This window comes from Homo sapiens, chromosome 20 (genome assembly GCF_000001405.40).
Source record: "Homo sapiens chromosome 20, GRCh38.p14 Primary Assembly".
NCBI classification, from domain to species: Eukaryota; Metazoa; Chordata; class Mammalia; order Primates; family Hominidae; genus Homo; species Homo sapiens.
In genome coordinates, this window is record NC_000020.11 from 3,902,812 (window position 1) to 3,919,742 (window position 16,931).

Consider the following 16,931-nt stretch of genomic DNA (forward strand, 5'->3'; position numbering starts at 1 on the left):
TTTTTTCTGTGCCCATTTTGCTGTTAAATATATCTGTCAAGTTTTATTTTAGCAATTGTTTTTTCTCTTTTATAACAGCGTCTTTAATGTTGTAATTTACATACAATAAACTGCATCCATTTAAAATATACAGTTCCATGAGTTTCGACAGATGTGTATAGACACACACACACACACACACACACACACACACACACACACACACACCCCTTTTACCCCCAAACAAGAGTTGGGTTACCAGAGTTTTTCCCTCCTCCTGTGCAGTCCAACCCCAGCTCTCAAGCCCATGATTTGCTTGCTTTCAGATGTAAAAATGATTAGCTTGCCTTTTTTTTTTTTTTCCCCCTTTTTGAGACGGAGTCTCCCTCTGTCGCCCAGGCTGGAGTACAGTGGTGCAATCTTGGCTCATTGAAATTTACTCCTCCTCCTGGGTTCAAGTGATTCTCCTGCTTCAGCCTCCCGAGTAGCTGGGATTACAGGCATGCACTGCCACACCGGGCTAATTTTTGTATTTTTAGTAGAAACGAGGTTTTGCCATGTTGGCTAGTCTGGTCTTGAATTCCTGACCTCAGGTGATCCGCCCGCCTTAGCCTCCCAAAGTGCTGGAATTACAGGCATGAGCCACGACGCCCGGCTTTTTTTTTTCTTCTTTTCCTTTTTTTTTTTTTTTTTGAGACTGAGTTTTGCTCTTGTTGCCCAGGCTGGAGTGCAATGGCATGATCTCGGCTAACTGTAACCTCTGCCTCCTGGTTCAAGTGATTCTCCTGCCTCAGCCTCCCAAGTAGCTGGGATTTCAGCGCGTTCCACCACGCCCAGCTAATTTTTTTTTTTTTTGAGATGGAGTCTCACTCCGTTGCCCAGGCTGGAGTGCAGTGGTGTGATCTCGGCTCACTGCAGCCTCCATCTCCTGGGATCAAGCGATTCTGCTGCCTCAGCTTTCTTAGTAGCTGGGATTAGAGGCATGTGCCACCACGCCCGGCTAATTTTTTTTATTTTTAGTAGAGACGTGGTTTCACCATATTGGTCAGGCTGATCTCGAACTCCTGACCTTGTGATCCGGCCGCTTCAGCCTCCCAAAGTGTTGGGATTACAGGCGTGAGCCACTGCGCCCAGCCTAATATTTTGTATTTTTAGTACATATGTTTAGTACATACGTACATACTTTAGTACAATATGATTTCACCATATTGGTCAGGCTGCTCTTGAACTCCTGACCTCAGGTGATCTGCCTGCCTTGGCCTCCCAAAGTGCTGGGATTACATTCTTGAGCCACTGTGCCCGGCCAGTTTGCATTTTCAAAAGTTTCATATAAATGGAATAATATAGTATGTAGCCTTTTGTGCAAGGTTTCTTTTACTCACCCTATTTTTGAGATTCATGAATATTAAATATGTAGTAGTTTGTCCCTTTTTTTTGGTTTTCAGAGCATTCTTTCCCACAATTAGGAAATTAACATGGACAAACTGTATTTAAATTTTGCCAATTTTGGCTGGGCATGATGACTCAGGCCTGTAATCCCAGCACTTTGGGAGGCCAAAGTGGGAGGATTGCTGGAGGCCAGGAGTTGGAGACCAGCCTGGACAACACAGTGAGACCTTGTCTCTCCAAAATAGCTGGCATGGTTGTGTTCCTGTAGTCGTAGTTACTTGGGATGATGAGGCAGGAGGATTGCTTGAGCCCAGGAGTTCAAGGTTACAGTCAGTTGTGATTGAGTTGTGATTGCACTCCAGCCTGGGAAACAGAGCAACACGCTGTCTCTAAAAATAAAAATAAAAGGTGAAAAATAAATAGAAACAGTTTTGCATGGATTCTTTTGTACGTTGTTTATTTAGTTGTATATAATTTTATCGTGTTAATTTTTGCAGCCACACACATCTGGCAATCGTTTTTTAATTTTTGATTTTTCTCTATGGTAGCTTTTTTTATGGATGAGTTATGATTTTACCTCTGAGAATATTTTTGATTCTGTTTATTCCTGCAACTCTTTCTTCAGATATTTAGTTTCTCATTTTTGTAGTGTTTATTTCCCTTGTAGTTTTTCTAGTTTGTAAAAGTGATAATCTCTGGTTTGAGAATTCCTGTTCTTCTGCCAGTGGATTCAGTGTCTGTTTACCAGTTGGTCAGGATTGATTTTAGGGGAGGTATGAGATACGTGGCAAAATATGGGGTAAAATGTCTCCTTATTTCTTCTGGGTAATAGCAGCCACCTGAGTGCCATCCTGATTCTGGGGCTCCAGTGCCTGTTTCCAGTGAAGACTTTGCTTCTGTCAGTGTTGGGGATAGAACATGGTTATTGGTAGAGGGAGTGGCCTGTCCACTTGTGCCAAACACATTTCCCCACCATCGCTTGTGACTGCACCACTGCACCAGACCTGCTTTTGTTTCCCCATGGTAGCCGCCCTGAACCTACGGCTTGGATAGAATACCCCTACGTTCTCTCTCTCACCTTCATAGCTGATCCCAGTTTTAATAGCATTCCTCTTTTGAGGCTTATGCATGGTTATTGCCTCTGTAAACCTAGTTCTGCTGCTGCTATCTCTTTTTTTTTTTTTTTTTTGAGACGGAGTCTCGCTCTGTCACCTAGGCTGGAGTGCAGTGGCATGATCTCCGCTCACTGCTCCGCCTCCCGGGTTCATGCCATTCTCCTGCCTCAGCCTGCTGAGTAGCTGGGACTACAGGCGCCCGCCACCACGCCCGGCTAATTTTTTTGTATTTTTAGTAGAGATGGGGTTTCACCTTGTTAGCCAGGATGGTCTCGATCTCCTGACCTCATGATCCTCCCGCCTCGGCCTCCCAAAGTGCTGGGATTACAGGCGTGAGCCACCACACCCGGCCTGCTATCTCTTCTTGTTTCCCAGAATTATTTTAGAAAATAATATATCAAATATATCAATAAACCCACACCCTTTTTTTTTTTTTTTTGAGGTGGAGTTTTGCTCTGTCACCCAGGCTGTAGTGCAGTAGTGCTGTCTTGGCTCACTGAAACCTCCACCTCCCGGGTTCAAGCAATTCTCCTGCCTCAGCCTCCTGAGTAGCTATGATTACAGGTGCCCGCCACCACGCCCGGCTAATTTTGTATTTTTAGTAGAGATGGGGGTTTCACCATGTTGGCCAGGCTGGTCTTGAACTCCTGACCTCAGGTGATCTGCCCTCCTCATCCTCCCAAAGTGCTGGGATTACAGGTGTGAGCCACCGTGCCCGGCCTAAACCCACATCTTTAGTAATTTCTACGATTTAGATTGGGAGGGGAAGCATGTACAGATGCTTTTTGACTTACGATGTTTATGCTACATTCCATAAACCCATCAGAAGTTCAAAATACTGTAAATCAGGCTGGGCGCAGTGGTTCACACTTGTAATCCCAGCACTTTGGGAGGCTGACCTGGGTGGACTGCTTGAGCCCAGGAGTTCAAGACCAGCCTGGCAACATGGGGAAACCCTGTTTCTACAAAAAATACAAAAATTAGGTGGGTGTGGTGGCATGCACCTTTAGTCCCAGCTGCTCAGGAGGCTGAGATAGGAGGATTACTTGAGCCCAGGAGGCAGAGGTTGCAGTGAGCTGAGATTGTGGCGTTGCATTCTAGCCTGGGTGACAGTGAGACCTTACCTCAAAAAAGAGAAAAAGAAAATACTGTAAGTCAAAATGCATTTAATATACCCAGCCTATTGAACATCATAGCTTAGCCAAACCTACCTTAAATGTGCTTAGAACCCTTATATTAGCCTACAGTTGGGCAAAATCTTCTAGCATAAAGCTAGATGATTTAATAATGAATAATATAAAAGATAATTATTTTACAATAAAATGTCGAATATCTTGTAATTTATTGAATACTGTACTAAAAATAAAAAAAACAATAAATACTTGAAGTAGAGTTTCTACTGAATGCTTATTGCACCATTGTAAATTTGAAAAATCATTACTTTGAGCCCTCATTAAATTGGGACCTTCCATATGTCTGTGCAGTCCACTTTGATCCAATCTCTTCAGGCCTTTTTTTTCTTTGAGACGGAGTGTCACTCTGTCGCCAGGCTAGAGTGCAGTGGTGCGATCTTGGCTCACTGCAGCTTCTGCCTCATGGGTTCAAGCGATTCTCCTGCCTCAGCCTCCGGAGTAGCTGGGACTACAAGCGCACGCCACCACAGCCAGCTGATTTCTGTATTTTTAGTAGAGATAGTTTCACCATGTTGGCCAGGATGATCTTGGTCTCTTGACCTTGTGATTCACCTGCCTTAGCCTCCCCAAGTGTTGGGATTACAGGCGTGAGCCACCGTGCCCAGCCCTGCCTTTTTTTTTTTTTTTTTTTTTTGAGACAGAGCCTCACTCTGTCGCCCAGGCTGGAGTGCAGTGGTGTGATCTCAGCTCACTGCAGTCTCCACCTCCCAGGTTGAAGCAGTTCTGGTTTAGATTTCCTGAGTAGCTGGTACTACAGGTGCACGTCACCATGCCTGGCTAATTTTTGTTTTAGTAGAGATGGGGTTTTACCATATTGGTCAGGCTGGTCTCAAACTTCTGACCTCAGGTGATCCACCCACCTTGGCCTCCCAAAGTGTTGAAATTACAGGTGTGAGCCACTGCGCTTGGCCTAAAGGACATTTTGGGAACCGGTGTTAATGTCTATTGAAACCTTTTATTTTTGGAATATCAGATTTTGAAAGATAAATTGACCATTGGAGGTTATATGTTACATAGGTTTGGGAATTTCCTGTTTCTAGTTTGCTGCTAAACCAGAACTCTGAAGTCTCAATGTTTTTTTTTAAGCCGATAGGAAAGAGAGATTTTCATTCTGAATCTTTGTTTTTCACAGTTGAGGCTTACGAGTAGTCATCTTGTTATTTTTAAAACACTTCATAGTGCGGTTTGCGCTTGTCTGACAGAATGGTTGGGTTGGCTCAATACTTTGATATTTTTCTTTTTCGTCTTTGCCGTAGTATTTTTTTTTTAAGTTATGCATCTAAATCAAGACAGAATCACATTTCTTTGCCCCAAAACCCTTTTGCCTAGAATTATGTTCTTTGGAAACCCTAGCGTTTGAAATAAGTTGCTACTGTGGTAAGGGTAAATTTAATTTTCAGAAAAAAGCTGTTCTGACTTATTTTTCTTCCCCATTTAGTTTTTCCATGGTTTGGACTGGATATCGGTGGAACTCTGGTCAAGCTGGTATATTTTGAACCCAAAGACATCACTGCTGAAGAAGAAGAGGAAGAAGTGGAAAGTCTTAAAAGCATTCGGAAGTACCTGACCTCCAATGTGGCTTATGGGTCTACAGGCATTCGGGACGTGCACCTCGAGCTGAAGGACCTGACTCTGTGTGGACGCAAAGGCAATCTGCACTTTATACGCTTTCCCACTCATGACATGCCTGCTTTTATTCAAATGGGCAGAGATAAAAACTTCTCGAGTCTCCACACTGTCTTTTGTGCCACTGGAGGTGGAGCGTACAAATTTGAGCAGGATTTTCTCACAGTATGCATTTTTTAGCTTATATACAATTTATGGTAATTTGATTGTTAAAAATAATGCCAGTAGCAAGTGGTGAAATAATTTCCATCTCTAATGGAACTTGAATTTTCTTGAGTCAAATGAAGATTAAAGGTACGCTAGTGATAGGAGTTGGCCATCTAGAGGTGGTTGTCTAGTTCAGATGTATGGACGACAATCAGAACCACTAAAAGGGTAGCATTTTATTGCTCCTTTAGTATGAAAAATTAGGGCATCTGCTATACGTTGAGGAAGAAACTACCTAAAAGGAACATCATTAGATCATGAACAATGAGATTGAAATATAATTAAAATCATTTCATGTCATAAAATTGTTTTCAGTCTTGTCTACCACATAATTTCTCTTGTCTCCCTCAGTTGTTTGCTGGCATGTTCACTAACTGAAAAAAATAAGGAACTCTGGTCAAAAGTGGTGTTTTCAGGCTCAGGGCTGGTCTGAGATGGGTGACTGCAGAGCCCTCCTCTCCCAGAATGCTTTCTGATGTGTTCTGTGCTGCACACTTAACTGGAGTCTCGCCACCATGTCTGGCCCCTGGGGAATGCTGCCAGGCGCTCTATCTTGCTTTCATTGAGTGAACACTGGAGAACATTGTGAGCAAGACCTTGAGGCTAGGTCCTTTCAGGGTGGATGGTGGGGGTAGGCCGGAGAACTGACAAATGAATAAGCCAAGATCCTGACCGTCAGGGTGCAATACAGATTGAAAATGTCTTCAGTGACTGACTGTTTTTCTGTTGCTAAATGAGAGAATATTAGTCTGAAAGAGATTCTGCCTTTTTGTTTTGTTTTGTTTTCTTGAGATGGAGTTTTGTTCTTGTTCCCAGGCTGGAATGCAATGGCTCAACACAACCTCCACCTCTCGGGTTCAAGCGATTCTCCTGCTTCAGCCTCCCAAGTAGCTGGGATTACAGGCATGTGCCACCACGCCCGGCTAATTTTGTATTTTTAGTAGAGACAGGGTTTCTCCATGTTGGTCAGGCTGGTCTCGAACTCCTGATCTCAGGTGATCTGCCTGCTTCAGCCTCCCAAAGTGCTGGGATTACAGGGGTGAGTCACCTTGCCCGGCCCAGATTCTGCCTGTTATTCTGCATGTCTTTTAGTAGAGATGGGGTTTCACCATGTTGTCCAGGCTGGTCTGGAACACCTGACCTCAAGTGATCTGCCTGCCTCGGCCTCCCAAAGTGTTGGAATTACAGGTGTGAGCCACCGTTCCTGGCCTCAACTTTTTGACTAACATGCCTTGGAGTTCTTCCCACTTCAGAACATAAAGATCCTCTTCATTTTTGTTTTGTTTTGAGACGGAGTCTCGCCCTGTCACCTAGGTTGGAGTGCAGTGGTGCCATCTCAGCTCACTGCAACCTCTGCCTCCTGGGTTCAAGAGATTCTCCTGCCTCAGCCTCCCGAGTAGCTGGGTTTACAGGCGTGCACCACCATACCCAGCTAATTTTTTTTTTTATCTTTAGTAGAGACTGGGTTTCACCATGTTGGCCAGGCTGATCTTGAACTCCTGACCTTGTGATCCACCTGTCTCAGCCTCCCAAAGTGCTGGGATTATAGGCGTGAGCCACCGTGCCCGGCCGATCCTCTTCATTTTTAGTTGCTATACAGTGCTCCATAATACGAATAATAATTTAGTCATTCCTTTATTATTTAAATGGAATTAATTGATTATGAAACAGTTCAAATTTTGACTGCTAAAATTCCCCTCCCTCCCAAGAGGCTGTAGCTAGTTTAGATAGTGAAAAAAATCTTACCTTCTAACTGGATACTTTCAGCCTTTTGGCTTCAGTTTGTTAAATAATGTGTGGCCTCTTTTGATACTGCTCCAAAGCCTTGAGATGGTCCTCTGTCACAGTCCTTGTGGCTCCCACCCTGTGTCACAAGGTGGTTTCTGATAGTGCTGTGGCCTGAGCTTGGTATCAGCCCCATTGTCCCTGTAAGCAGAGATCTGAATTTCTGTTTGAAGGTTGATAAATGCTGTGGTTTTTTTTTTTTGTTTTTTTTGTTTTTTTTTTGGTCACACTTATTCAGCTGCTGCAGTAGTTTCTATGTAGAGTGTATTTGGGTCTGTAGTAGCAGGAGTCTGTCTCAGCACTGTGTCCCTAGGTTTGCTCCTAAATCTGTTCTGTAAAGCATGCACAAATAATACACATCTGTGAGTGCACTTTCATGGTTGTTTCACGTAGTGGGGATGCCTTATTGAATGGAATTTTTGTTTCTGTTGGCTTATTAAAAAGTCTGAGTACATTCTTATTTCATTACAGATAGGTGATCTTCAGCTTTGCAAACTGGATGAACTAGATTGCTTGATCAAAGGAATTTTATACATTGACTCAGTCGGATTCAATGGACGGTCACAGTGCTATTACTTTGAAAACCCTGCTGATTCTGAAAAGTGTCAGAAGTTACCATTTGATTTGAAAAATCCGTATCCTCTGCTTCTGGTGAACATTGGCTCAGGGGTTAGCATCTTAGCAGTATATTCCAAAGATAATTACAAACGGGTCACAGGTACTAGGTAAGTTGTATATAAAACTCACTGTTTATTCTTAGTATCCTAACGGGCTGAGTTTTCAGGTATTACATGTAACTACACCTTCAAGAACCTGTTAGGTGAAAGTGTTTCTGGATTATGCAAACAAATGTTTCTCTTTGAAAATTCTGATTTTATGACCTAGTTTTCTTTAATCTCTACTGTTCAAGATTTATTATCCTAGGTGTTTCTTAAAAGATCACATCAGCAGACTCATTGTAGCCTTTGCCCTCAGATAGTTTATGGTGTGCATACACAAAGTAGCTAAAGTTATTAGGCAGCATCTGTAAGGAGAAGGCACGGGAAAGGACCTAGCTCTGAAACCTGTGTAAATTTCATGCTTCCACACACATGTGTGTGTAGAATAATGATGTATTCTATGTATGTGATTTAGAAGTTGATATGTACTGATCAGTAGAAAAATTATTGAGGGAAGGTAGTATGAAAAGAGAGGATTAGCCGGGCGTGGTGGCTCATGCCTGTAATCCCAGCACTTTGGGAGGCTGGGGCGGGTGGATCATGAGGTCAGGAGTTCAAGACCAGCCTGGCCAACATGGTGAAACCCCATCTCTACTAAAAATACAAAAATTAGCCGGGCGCAGTGGCAGGCGCCTGTGAATCCCAGCTACTCGGGAGGCTGAGGTGGGAGAATTGCTTGAATTCAGAGGGTGGAGGTTGCAGTAAGCCGAGATTATGCCACTGCACTCCAGCCTGGGTGACAGAGTGAGACTCCGTCTCAAAAAAAAAAGAAAAGAGAGTATTAGGGCCAGGCACGGCAGCTTATGCCTGTAATCCCAGCACTTTGGGAGGCCGAGGCGGGTGGATCACCAGAGGTCGGGAGTTCGAGACCAGCCTGGCCAACATGGAGAAACCCCATCTCTACTAAAAATACAAAATTAGCCGGGCGTGGTGGCACATGCCTGTAATCCCATATACTTGGGAGGCTGAGGCAGAAAAATCACTTGAACCAGGAGGCAAAGGTTGCGGTGAGCCGAGATCGTGCCATTGTACTCTAGCCTGGGCAAAAAGAGCTAAACTCCATCTCAAAAAAAAAAAATGAGGATTAGATGGAAGAAGAGAATGTTTCGGCTTAAGGGTCAGAGGTCACTTCAGGAAAAACAGGCATCTAGGGATTGGGATAAACAATTTTTTTAAAAAAACAGTTGTGATTTAAATAGAGGAGTAATTTTTTTGTGACAAAACACGTTGCAGGAGGAGTATGTTTGGGGGTGTACTGATAAGCCAGGGTGACAAGGTGCTTGGATGAGAATGACTCAGGGAATGTACTTGGAGAAGGGAAAGGGAGGAGGTGTTAGCATGGCCCCAGGCGTGTCAGGCTAATTTGCACCTGAGGCTCTTCATACTTGGCAGACAGCCAGACTGCACTGGGGACATGGGCCCTGTGTTTTGTACTTTGCATGTTGGCTCACATGCATATGTACCTTAAAGGTGTATATCAGGCACCTTATCTTTTCACAGACTTGTTTCCTACCAGTGGCATTTGCATGATTGGGTTGGATATGTGAATATGGTTTTGGGGTTCATAAATGTTAACTTCTTGTTCTTATTTTTAAAAATGTTATAATACTGTGTTAATTGTTTTTAATCATAGTCTTGGAGGAGGAACTTTTTTTGGTCTCTGCTGTCTTCTTACTGGCTGTACCACTTTTGAAGAAGCTCTTGAAATGGCATCTCGTGGAGATAGCACCAAAGTGGATAAACTAGTACGAGATATTTATGGAGGGGACTATGAGAGGTTTGGACTGCCAGGCTGGGCTGTGGCTTCAAGGTAAGGGGGCATGTGTGTTCTAAGAAATACAGGCGGGCCGGGCGCGGTGGCTCATGCCTTTAATCCCAAAACTTTGAGAGGCCGAGATGGGCAGATCATGAGGTCAGGAGTTTGAGACCAGCCTGGCCAACATAGTGTAACCCTGTCTCTACTAAAAATACAAAAATTAGCTAGGCATGGTGGTGCGCGCCTGTAGACCCAGGTACTTGGGAGGCTGAGGCAGGAGAATCACTTGAACCCTGGAGGTGGAGGGTGCGGTGAGCTCCAGCCTAGGTAACGGAGTGAGACTCTGTCTCAAAAAAAAAAAAAAAAAAAAAAAAGACATAAAATAATAATATTGGGCATATTTTTTAAAAAAGCTCTATTGAGATATAATTTACGTACTATAAAGTCAGCTGTTTGAAGCGTACAATTTAGTGGTTTCTAGTATATTTACAGGATTGTGCAACCATCACTGTAATCCCAATTTTAGGACATTTTTATCATCCTAGAAAGAAACCTTGTGTTCATTAGCTACGACTCTCCATTCCCCCCACAGCCCCTGCCAAACAGTAATTTATTTTCAATGTAGGTTTGCCTCTTCTGAACATTTCATATAAGTGGTATCATACAGTATATGATCTTTTGTGATTACTTCTTCATATAGCATATGTTTTCAAACATTCACATTACAGTGTGAATCAGTACTTTATTCCTTTTTATTGCCAAATAATATTTCTTTTTTCTGAGACGGCGTTTTACTCTTTTTGCCCAGGCTGGAGTGCAATGGCGTGATCTCGGCTCACCACAACCCCCACCTCCCAGGTTCAAGCAATTCTCCTGCCTCAGCCTCCTGAGTAGCTGGGATTACAGGCATGCGCCACCAAGCCTGGCTAATTTTGTATTTTTTAGTAGGGAAAGGATTTCTCCATGTTGGCCGGGCAGGTCTCGAACTCAGGTGATCTGCCGCCTCAGCCTCCCAAAGTGCTAGGATTACAGGTGTGAGCCACCGCGCCCGGCTGCCACATAATATTTCATTACGTGGATAATACTACATTTTATCCATTTATTGGTTGATGAACATTTGGGTTGTTTCCATTTTTTGGTTATAATGTTGAACATTTATATGTAAGTCTTTGTATGTATGCACACACACACACACATATATATATATATATTTTTTTTTTTTTTTTGAGACGGAGTCTTGGTCTGTCGCCCAGGCTGGAGTGCAGTGGCGTGATCTCGGCTCACTGCAAGCTCTAGCTCCTGGGTTCATGCCATTCTTCTGCTTCAGCCTTCCAAGTAGCTGGGACTACAGGTGCCTGCCACCACGCCCGGCTATTTTTTTTGTATTTTTAGCAGAGATGGGGTTTCACTATGTTGGCCAGGATGGTCTCGATCTGCTGACCTCATGATCCGCCCGCCTTGGCCTCCCAAAGTGCTGGGATTACAGGCGTGAGCCACTGCGCCTGGCCTGCACATATATTTCTAATTCTATTGGGTATATACCTGAGAGTAGAATTGCTGAGTCATATGGTCACTTAATGTTTAATCTTTTGAGGAACTGCTACACTGTTTTCCAAAGTGGCAGTCCCATTTTACAATCTTAGCAGTTTATGAGCGTTTATATTTCTTGTCAACATTTGTTATTATCTGTCTTCTTGGTTTTAGTTGTCTTAATAGGAGTGAAGTGATATCTTGTAGCGTTTTTATTTTTTAAGAGGCAGGGTCTCGCCCTGTTGCCCACATGAGAGTGCAGTGTTGCGATCATAACTGGCTGCAGCCTGTGTCTCCTGGGCTCAGGTGTTTCTCCTGCCTCAGTCTCCTGAGTCACTAGGACTACAGCTGTGCACTGCCTTGCCTAATTTTTTTTTTGTAGAGATAGGGTCTTGCTATGTTGCCTAGGCTGTCCTGGCCTCAAGTGATCCTCCCACCTTGGCTTCCCAACATGTTGGGATTACAGGTGTGAGCCATCACTCCTGGCTGAACATTTTTTTTGTGTGTGTGGCAGGGTCTCTCTCTGTTGCCCAGGCTGGAGTGCAGTGACACCATCTTATCTCACTGAAACCTCTACCTCCTGGGTTTTAGTGATTCTTCTGCTTCACCTCGCAAGTAGCTGGGATTACAGGCACACCTGTAAATTATGCCAACATGCCTGGCTAATTTCTGTAATTTTAGTAGAGATGGGGTTTGGCCATGTTGGCCAGGCTGGTCTCGAGCTCCTGACCTCAAGTGATCCACCCACCTTGGCCTCCCAAAGTGCTGGGATTACAGGTGTGAGCCACTGTGCCCAGCCCGAACATCTTTTCATGTGTTTACTGGCCATCTGTCTGTAGTCTTTGGATAAATGTCTGCTGAAGTCTATTGCTAAGTTTTTAGTTGGATTGTCTTTTTATTATTGAGTTCTGGATACAAGTCCCTTATTAGATACATAATTCGCAAATGTTTTGTCCCATTTTGTTAGTTGTCTTTTCACTTCCTTGATGGTGTCCTTTGCAGCATGGAAATTTTAAATTTTGATGAAGTTAATCTTATCTATCTTCTGTCACTTGTGCTTTTGGTGTTATGTGTAAGAAATCTAAGATCATGAAGAATTGCCTAATTTAAGATCATGAAGAATTGTTTATTTTCTTTTAAGAGTTTTATAGTTTTAGCTCATATATATATATGTGTGTGTGTGTATTTTTTTCTTTTTTTCTTTTTTGAGATGGAGTCTTGCTCTGTCACCAGGCTGGAGTGCAGTGGTGCGATCTCGGCTCACTGCAACCTCCACCTCCCGGGTTCAAGCGATTCTCCTGCCTCAGCCTCCTGAGTAGCTGGGACTACAGTGCGTGCCGCCACACCCAGCTAATTTTTGTATTTTTAGTAGAGACAGGGTTTCACCATATTGTCCAGGATGGTCTCGATCTCTTGACCTCGTGATCCGCCCACCTTGGCCTCCCAAAGTGCTGGGATTACAGGCGTGAGCCACCACGCCCGCCAGTTTTAGCTCTTATATTTAGCTCTTATATTTGATCCATTTTGAGTAAGTTTTTGTGTATGGTGTGAGGTAGAGCTCCAAGTTCATTTCTTTTTGCGTGTGGATATCCAGTTGTCCTAGTACCATTTGTTGAAAAGATGATTCTTTCCCTGTTAAATTCTCTTGGCCCCTTTGTCAAAAATTAGTTGACCATAGATGTTTGGGTTTACTCCTGGACTCTTAAGTTATGTTCCATTGATATATATGTCTGTTTTTATACCAGTACCATACTGCCTTGATACTGTAGCGTTGTATTAAGTTCTGAAGTAAGAAAGTGTGAGTCATCCAACTTGTTCTTTTTTCGAGATTATTTTGGCTATTCTGGGTACCTTGAGAATATGAATTGTAGGGTTAACTTGGCAAGGTCTGTAAATAAGACAACTGGGATTTTAATAGAGATTACATTGAATCTTTTGGCCATCCTAATACAAAGTCTTCTGATCCAAAAAGATGGAATGTCTTCCCATTGATTTAGATCTTTGCTTTCTTTCAGCAGTGTTTTGTAGATTTTATTGTACAGGTGTTAATACTTTTGTTAGATATATCCGTAAGTGTTTTATTCTCTAATGCTATTATAAATGAAATCATTGTCTCCATTTTGAGATCGTTTAGAAGTACAATTGTTTTTCGTATATTGGGGCACATGGCTTTTACTAATAGAAAAATCATATGTATACATGCTTGTTTACTAAGTTTTAGGCACTTGGTCAATGCTGTTGATTTTCTGTTTGTAACATTTGCTCGTTGGTCATCACTTCCTTTTCTGATTGGAAAATTATTGTAGCAGTTCTGCTGAGCATGTACTTTGAAGTACTTTATCTTCTAGGGAAACCTGAAATTCTTAAGCAGCTCACTCTGGGACTCAGCTGTCTGTGCTTTACTCTGCTCTGATAGAGCAGTTTACCAGATGTGCATGTGGCCATCTGAGTGGAACAGCTGTGCAGTTGAGATGAATTGCTGTTAGAGGTGTTGTCCTGGAACTGTCTGGTTGCAGGAGCAATGGTGCCTTCCAGTGCATCTGATGAGATTCTAACTGAATATGTGAATATCTGGTATCCAAGCTAGATTTCAGTAGAAACCGCAGGGAAAGCTGTCTGCTCATTTAGAATGTTGGAGGGCTCTGTTTGAAGTTTGCATTTCTCTTTGAACAGATGCTCCATTGCAAAATAAAAGGTTTGAAGATTTCAACAATGTTGCCCTAAAAGCTAATTTTATTTCAATAAAGTAACATTCAAGTTCTGTTGGGCTTTGTTGCTGTTGGTTTAGCAATGGGATTTTTTTTCCCCCATCACAGCTTTGGAAACATGATGAGCAAGGAGAAGCGAGAGGCTGTCAGTAAAGAGGACCTGGCCAGAGCGACTTTGATCACCATCACCAACAACATTGGCTCAATAGCAAGAATGTGTGCCCTTAATGAAGTAAGGGGACATGGATTTCTTTAATTGCTCTAAGGAAAATACTGAACTTAAGTGGGCCCCATCACGTCTGTTTTCTCAGAACAGTGCCTAAATGTAGTCATTTGGGGTGGGGTTTGTTTTAGCACGAAGTTAAAACTCTTCAAATACAGATTAATCTTCTTTTTTTTTTTTTTAAACTGAAGATAAACATTGCTACTTGTCTAGAGGTAAAATGACATCTTTTGAGGAGAAAGTAGAGGAAGAGTGGAAGGTAGCCAGTGTTCCAGATATTGGGGACTGTTGGGGGTGATGATGGATAACGATGCTGAATGTAGACTCCACACTCACTGCTGAGCTCTAGAGGCCCTAGGGAGGAATCCAGAGGAAGTCACGGAAGCTGGGAGAAGACTGAGCAGGCCGAGGGGTGCCCTCCTTGGCTCCCCCACCTCAGCAGAGCTGCGTCTTTGTGCTTTCAGCTTCTTTACAGTGCTGCCTTGTAGCATTCAGGTCAAGCAGCATTGTACAGGGCTATGAAAGAACCAAGAATGGGCTGCCCTTGGGAAAAGAGGATCTAGGATCCAGTTGGTGCAGCTTATGGCTTGTCCCTGTGTGTATAGTTGTTAAATTATTCTTTTATTTTTATTTTTAAGAAGTTATTCTTTAGATAATAATAGGCATGTAGCTTAAAAGGAAACCTCAAAAGACACAAAGGATTTGTCTCATTTTAAATTAAAAAAATACTGTATCAGCATCAAGTAATTAAACATTTGTTGGAATATCATAACTTCTTTTTTCTTTATTGTATGTTCCCTTTCCTGTGCTTACGTATTTTCAGAAATTTTAGTTGGTGTGCATACCACAATTTGTATTTTATACTTAAATATACATTTCATGGTTGTATATTTATTTGATCAAGTTCTTTTATATCAAATAACAGAGCTTGGCATTTGGTTGCTTGCTCATAACTCGGCAGTAAGCATTTTTAAGCATGAAGTTATTCTTTGGTTGAATTTTATTCTTGATATGGGGCTTAGGAGTGAGATTTCTGGTCTACAGAAATGATCATGCTCATGAATTTTGACATTTATCGTCATGATGCTTTGCACAAGGGCTGCACCAATTTAGATCATCTTTAGCGGTGAATGAGTGGATTAATTTTACTACAACTACTGATGGTGGTGGTGGAATTTCAGTTGCTTTTTTTTGCGAGGTTAATAGGTCTAAAATTTTACTTTTGTTTGATGACTAGTGGTTTGAATTTTTCGCTGCCTGTTATATTGCTTGTATACTTTGCCTGTTTGTGTCACTGTCCTTTTGGATTGGAGTCATACTGTTTTTTTTTGTTTATTTTAACTTATCTGTATAAAACATTGTATTCAAAACTAGTTATTGTTGGTCAGATTTAATACAAATGTTTTTCCTAATCTGTTTTCTTCTCCTGTGACATTATCTAGCATGCTTTGCAGTGGGTCCAGAGTTGTCTGGGGATCAAGTTTAAGTAGCCCTGGACCAACTGGACTAAATTTGATCAGCAGTCAAATTGTTGCTAAGAGCTATGCACATGGTGCTGTATTTGGGGTAGCTTTTATGAGAAAATAGAAATTAAGATGAAAACTAATTGCCTTTTTTTGGTGTGCTCAGAACATTAACCAGGTGGTATTTGTTGGAAATTTCTTGAGAATTAATACGATCGCCATGCGGCTTTTGGCATATGCTTTGGATTATTGGTCCAAGGGGCAGTTGAAAGCACTTTTTTCGGAACACGAGGTAAGCTGACTTGTTCGTTGTGGTATATTATGTACACAGAGGGCTTGTGGGTCACACTGTCATGGAACTTGAGGTAGAGGGTGGAGGTGAAATGGGCTGCAGTGTTTCTTTTGTTTTTTGTTTTTTTGAGACGGAGTCTCGCTCTGTCACCTAGGTTGGAGTGCGTGGCACAGTCTTGGGGCTCACTGCAGCCTCCGCCTCCTGGGTTCAAGCAGTCCTCCCACCTCAGTCTCTTAAGTAGCTGGGATTACAAGTGTGCGCCCCCACACCCTGCTAATTTTTGTACTTTCAGTAGAAATGGGGTTTCACCATGTTGGCCAAGCTGGTCTGGTCTCAAACTCCTGACCTTAAGTGATCTGCCAGCCTCAGCCTCCCAAAGTTCCAGGATTACAGGTGTGAACCACTGTGCCTGAACTTTTTTGGTAGTTTAATTTCGTAACATTTGAAAGCTGTTTCTTCCCTGATACTAATGCAAGGTAAATTTTGGGTTAATTTAATTGTAAGCTTAAGGAATTTTAGAGAAAAACCCTTGAACATTCCCCTATATTTCTGATGCCATATTTTTGTCTGAACTATCCTCTATATTTTTTCTATTGCACTGACTGTGTCATTACTCTGGGTTCTGGTTTTTTCATTTTTTTCAGTGCCAGTTTTTATATATTGTTGTAATTCTTGTGCCAGTTATTTAAGATGCATGTTGTAAAAATGAATAGATGAGTAAACCTCTCAGACTAGAACCATACTATCATAAGAACTTAAGTACAATTGTAGACAGGCTGGAAATGATGAAATGGAAAAGAATCAAATTGCTCAACCTCATAGCCTGTCTTGGAAAGCACTCTTATTTTTCCTATTTGGGGAAAAAGAAGCAGAGGTATGGAAAGGCGTGTAGGGGTTCTTTCTTCCCTTCTTGGTTGTGGGGCAGTTGAACTATTCTTTCAACTGT

At 42.4% G+C, this 16,931-nt stretch overlaps 1 protein-coding gene and 2 non-coding genes across 10 annotated transcripts in view, besides 2 other annotated features; 2 read left to right on the top strand and 1 right to left on the bottom strand.

Moving 5' to 3' along the window:
- Nucleotides 1-16,931, top strand: part of PANK2 (pantothenate kinase 2) — a 41,107-nt gene that overhangs the window by 14,031 nt on the left and 10,145 nt on the right. For 5 of the 8 annotated variants that reach the window (NM_024960.6, NM_153638.4, NM_001324191.2 and 2 more), the window contains 5 exons: nt 5,115-5,467; nt 7,766-8,019; nt 9,647-9,823; nt 14,116-14,239; nt 15,860-15,985. In NM_024960.6, coding sequence (NP_079236.3) covers nt 5,360-5,467; nt 7,766-8,019; nt 9,647-9,823; nt 14,116-14,239; nt 15,860-15,985 — 789 coding nt within the window. In that variant the 5' untranslated portion in view covers nt 5,115-5,359. Of the gene's footprint in view, nt 1-5,114; nt 5,815-7,765; nt 8,020-9,646; nt 9,824-14,115; nt 14,240-15,859; nt 15,986-16,931 lie in introns of those variants that run through there. The other 3 variants (NR_136715.2, NM_001324193.2, NM_001324192.1) reach the window with 2 other exon arrangements.
- Nucleotides 2,705-3,205: an enhancer, noted in NCBI's record as "H3K4me1 hESC enhancer chr20:3886163-3886663 (GRCh37/hg19 assembly coordinates)". NCBI's record gives its function as "activates a minimal SCP1, AML or CMV promoter by ChIP-STARR-seq in primed H9 embryonic stem cells {active_cell/tissue: H9 hESC(primed)}" and the evidence as "EXISTENCE:reporter gene assay evidence [ECO:0000049][PMID:30033119]".
- Nucleotides 3,927-4,006: an enhancer, noted in NCBI's record as "active region_17489". NCBI's record gives its function as "activates an Ori minimal core promoter by ATAC-STARR-seq in GM12878 lymphoblastoid cells {active_cell/tissue: GM12878}" and the evidence as "EXISTENCE:reporter gene assay evidence [ECO:0000049][PMID:35858748]".
- Nucleotides 14,683-14,760, top strand: MIR103A2 (microRNA 103a-2). The gene has a single exon (NR_029519.1). It is a non-coding gene; the product is annotated as a microRNA 103a-2 (primary transcript).
- Nucleotides 14,691-14,752, bottom strand: MIR103B2 (microRNA 103b-2). Its single transcript, NR_031722.1, has one exon. It is a non-coding gene; the product is annotated as a microRNA 103b-2 (primary transcript).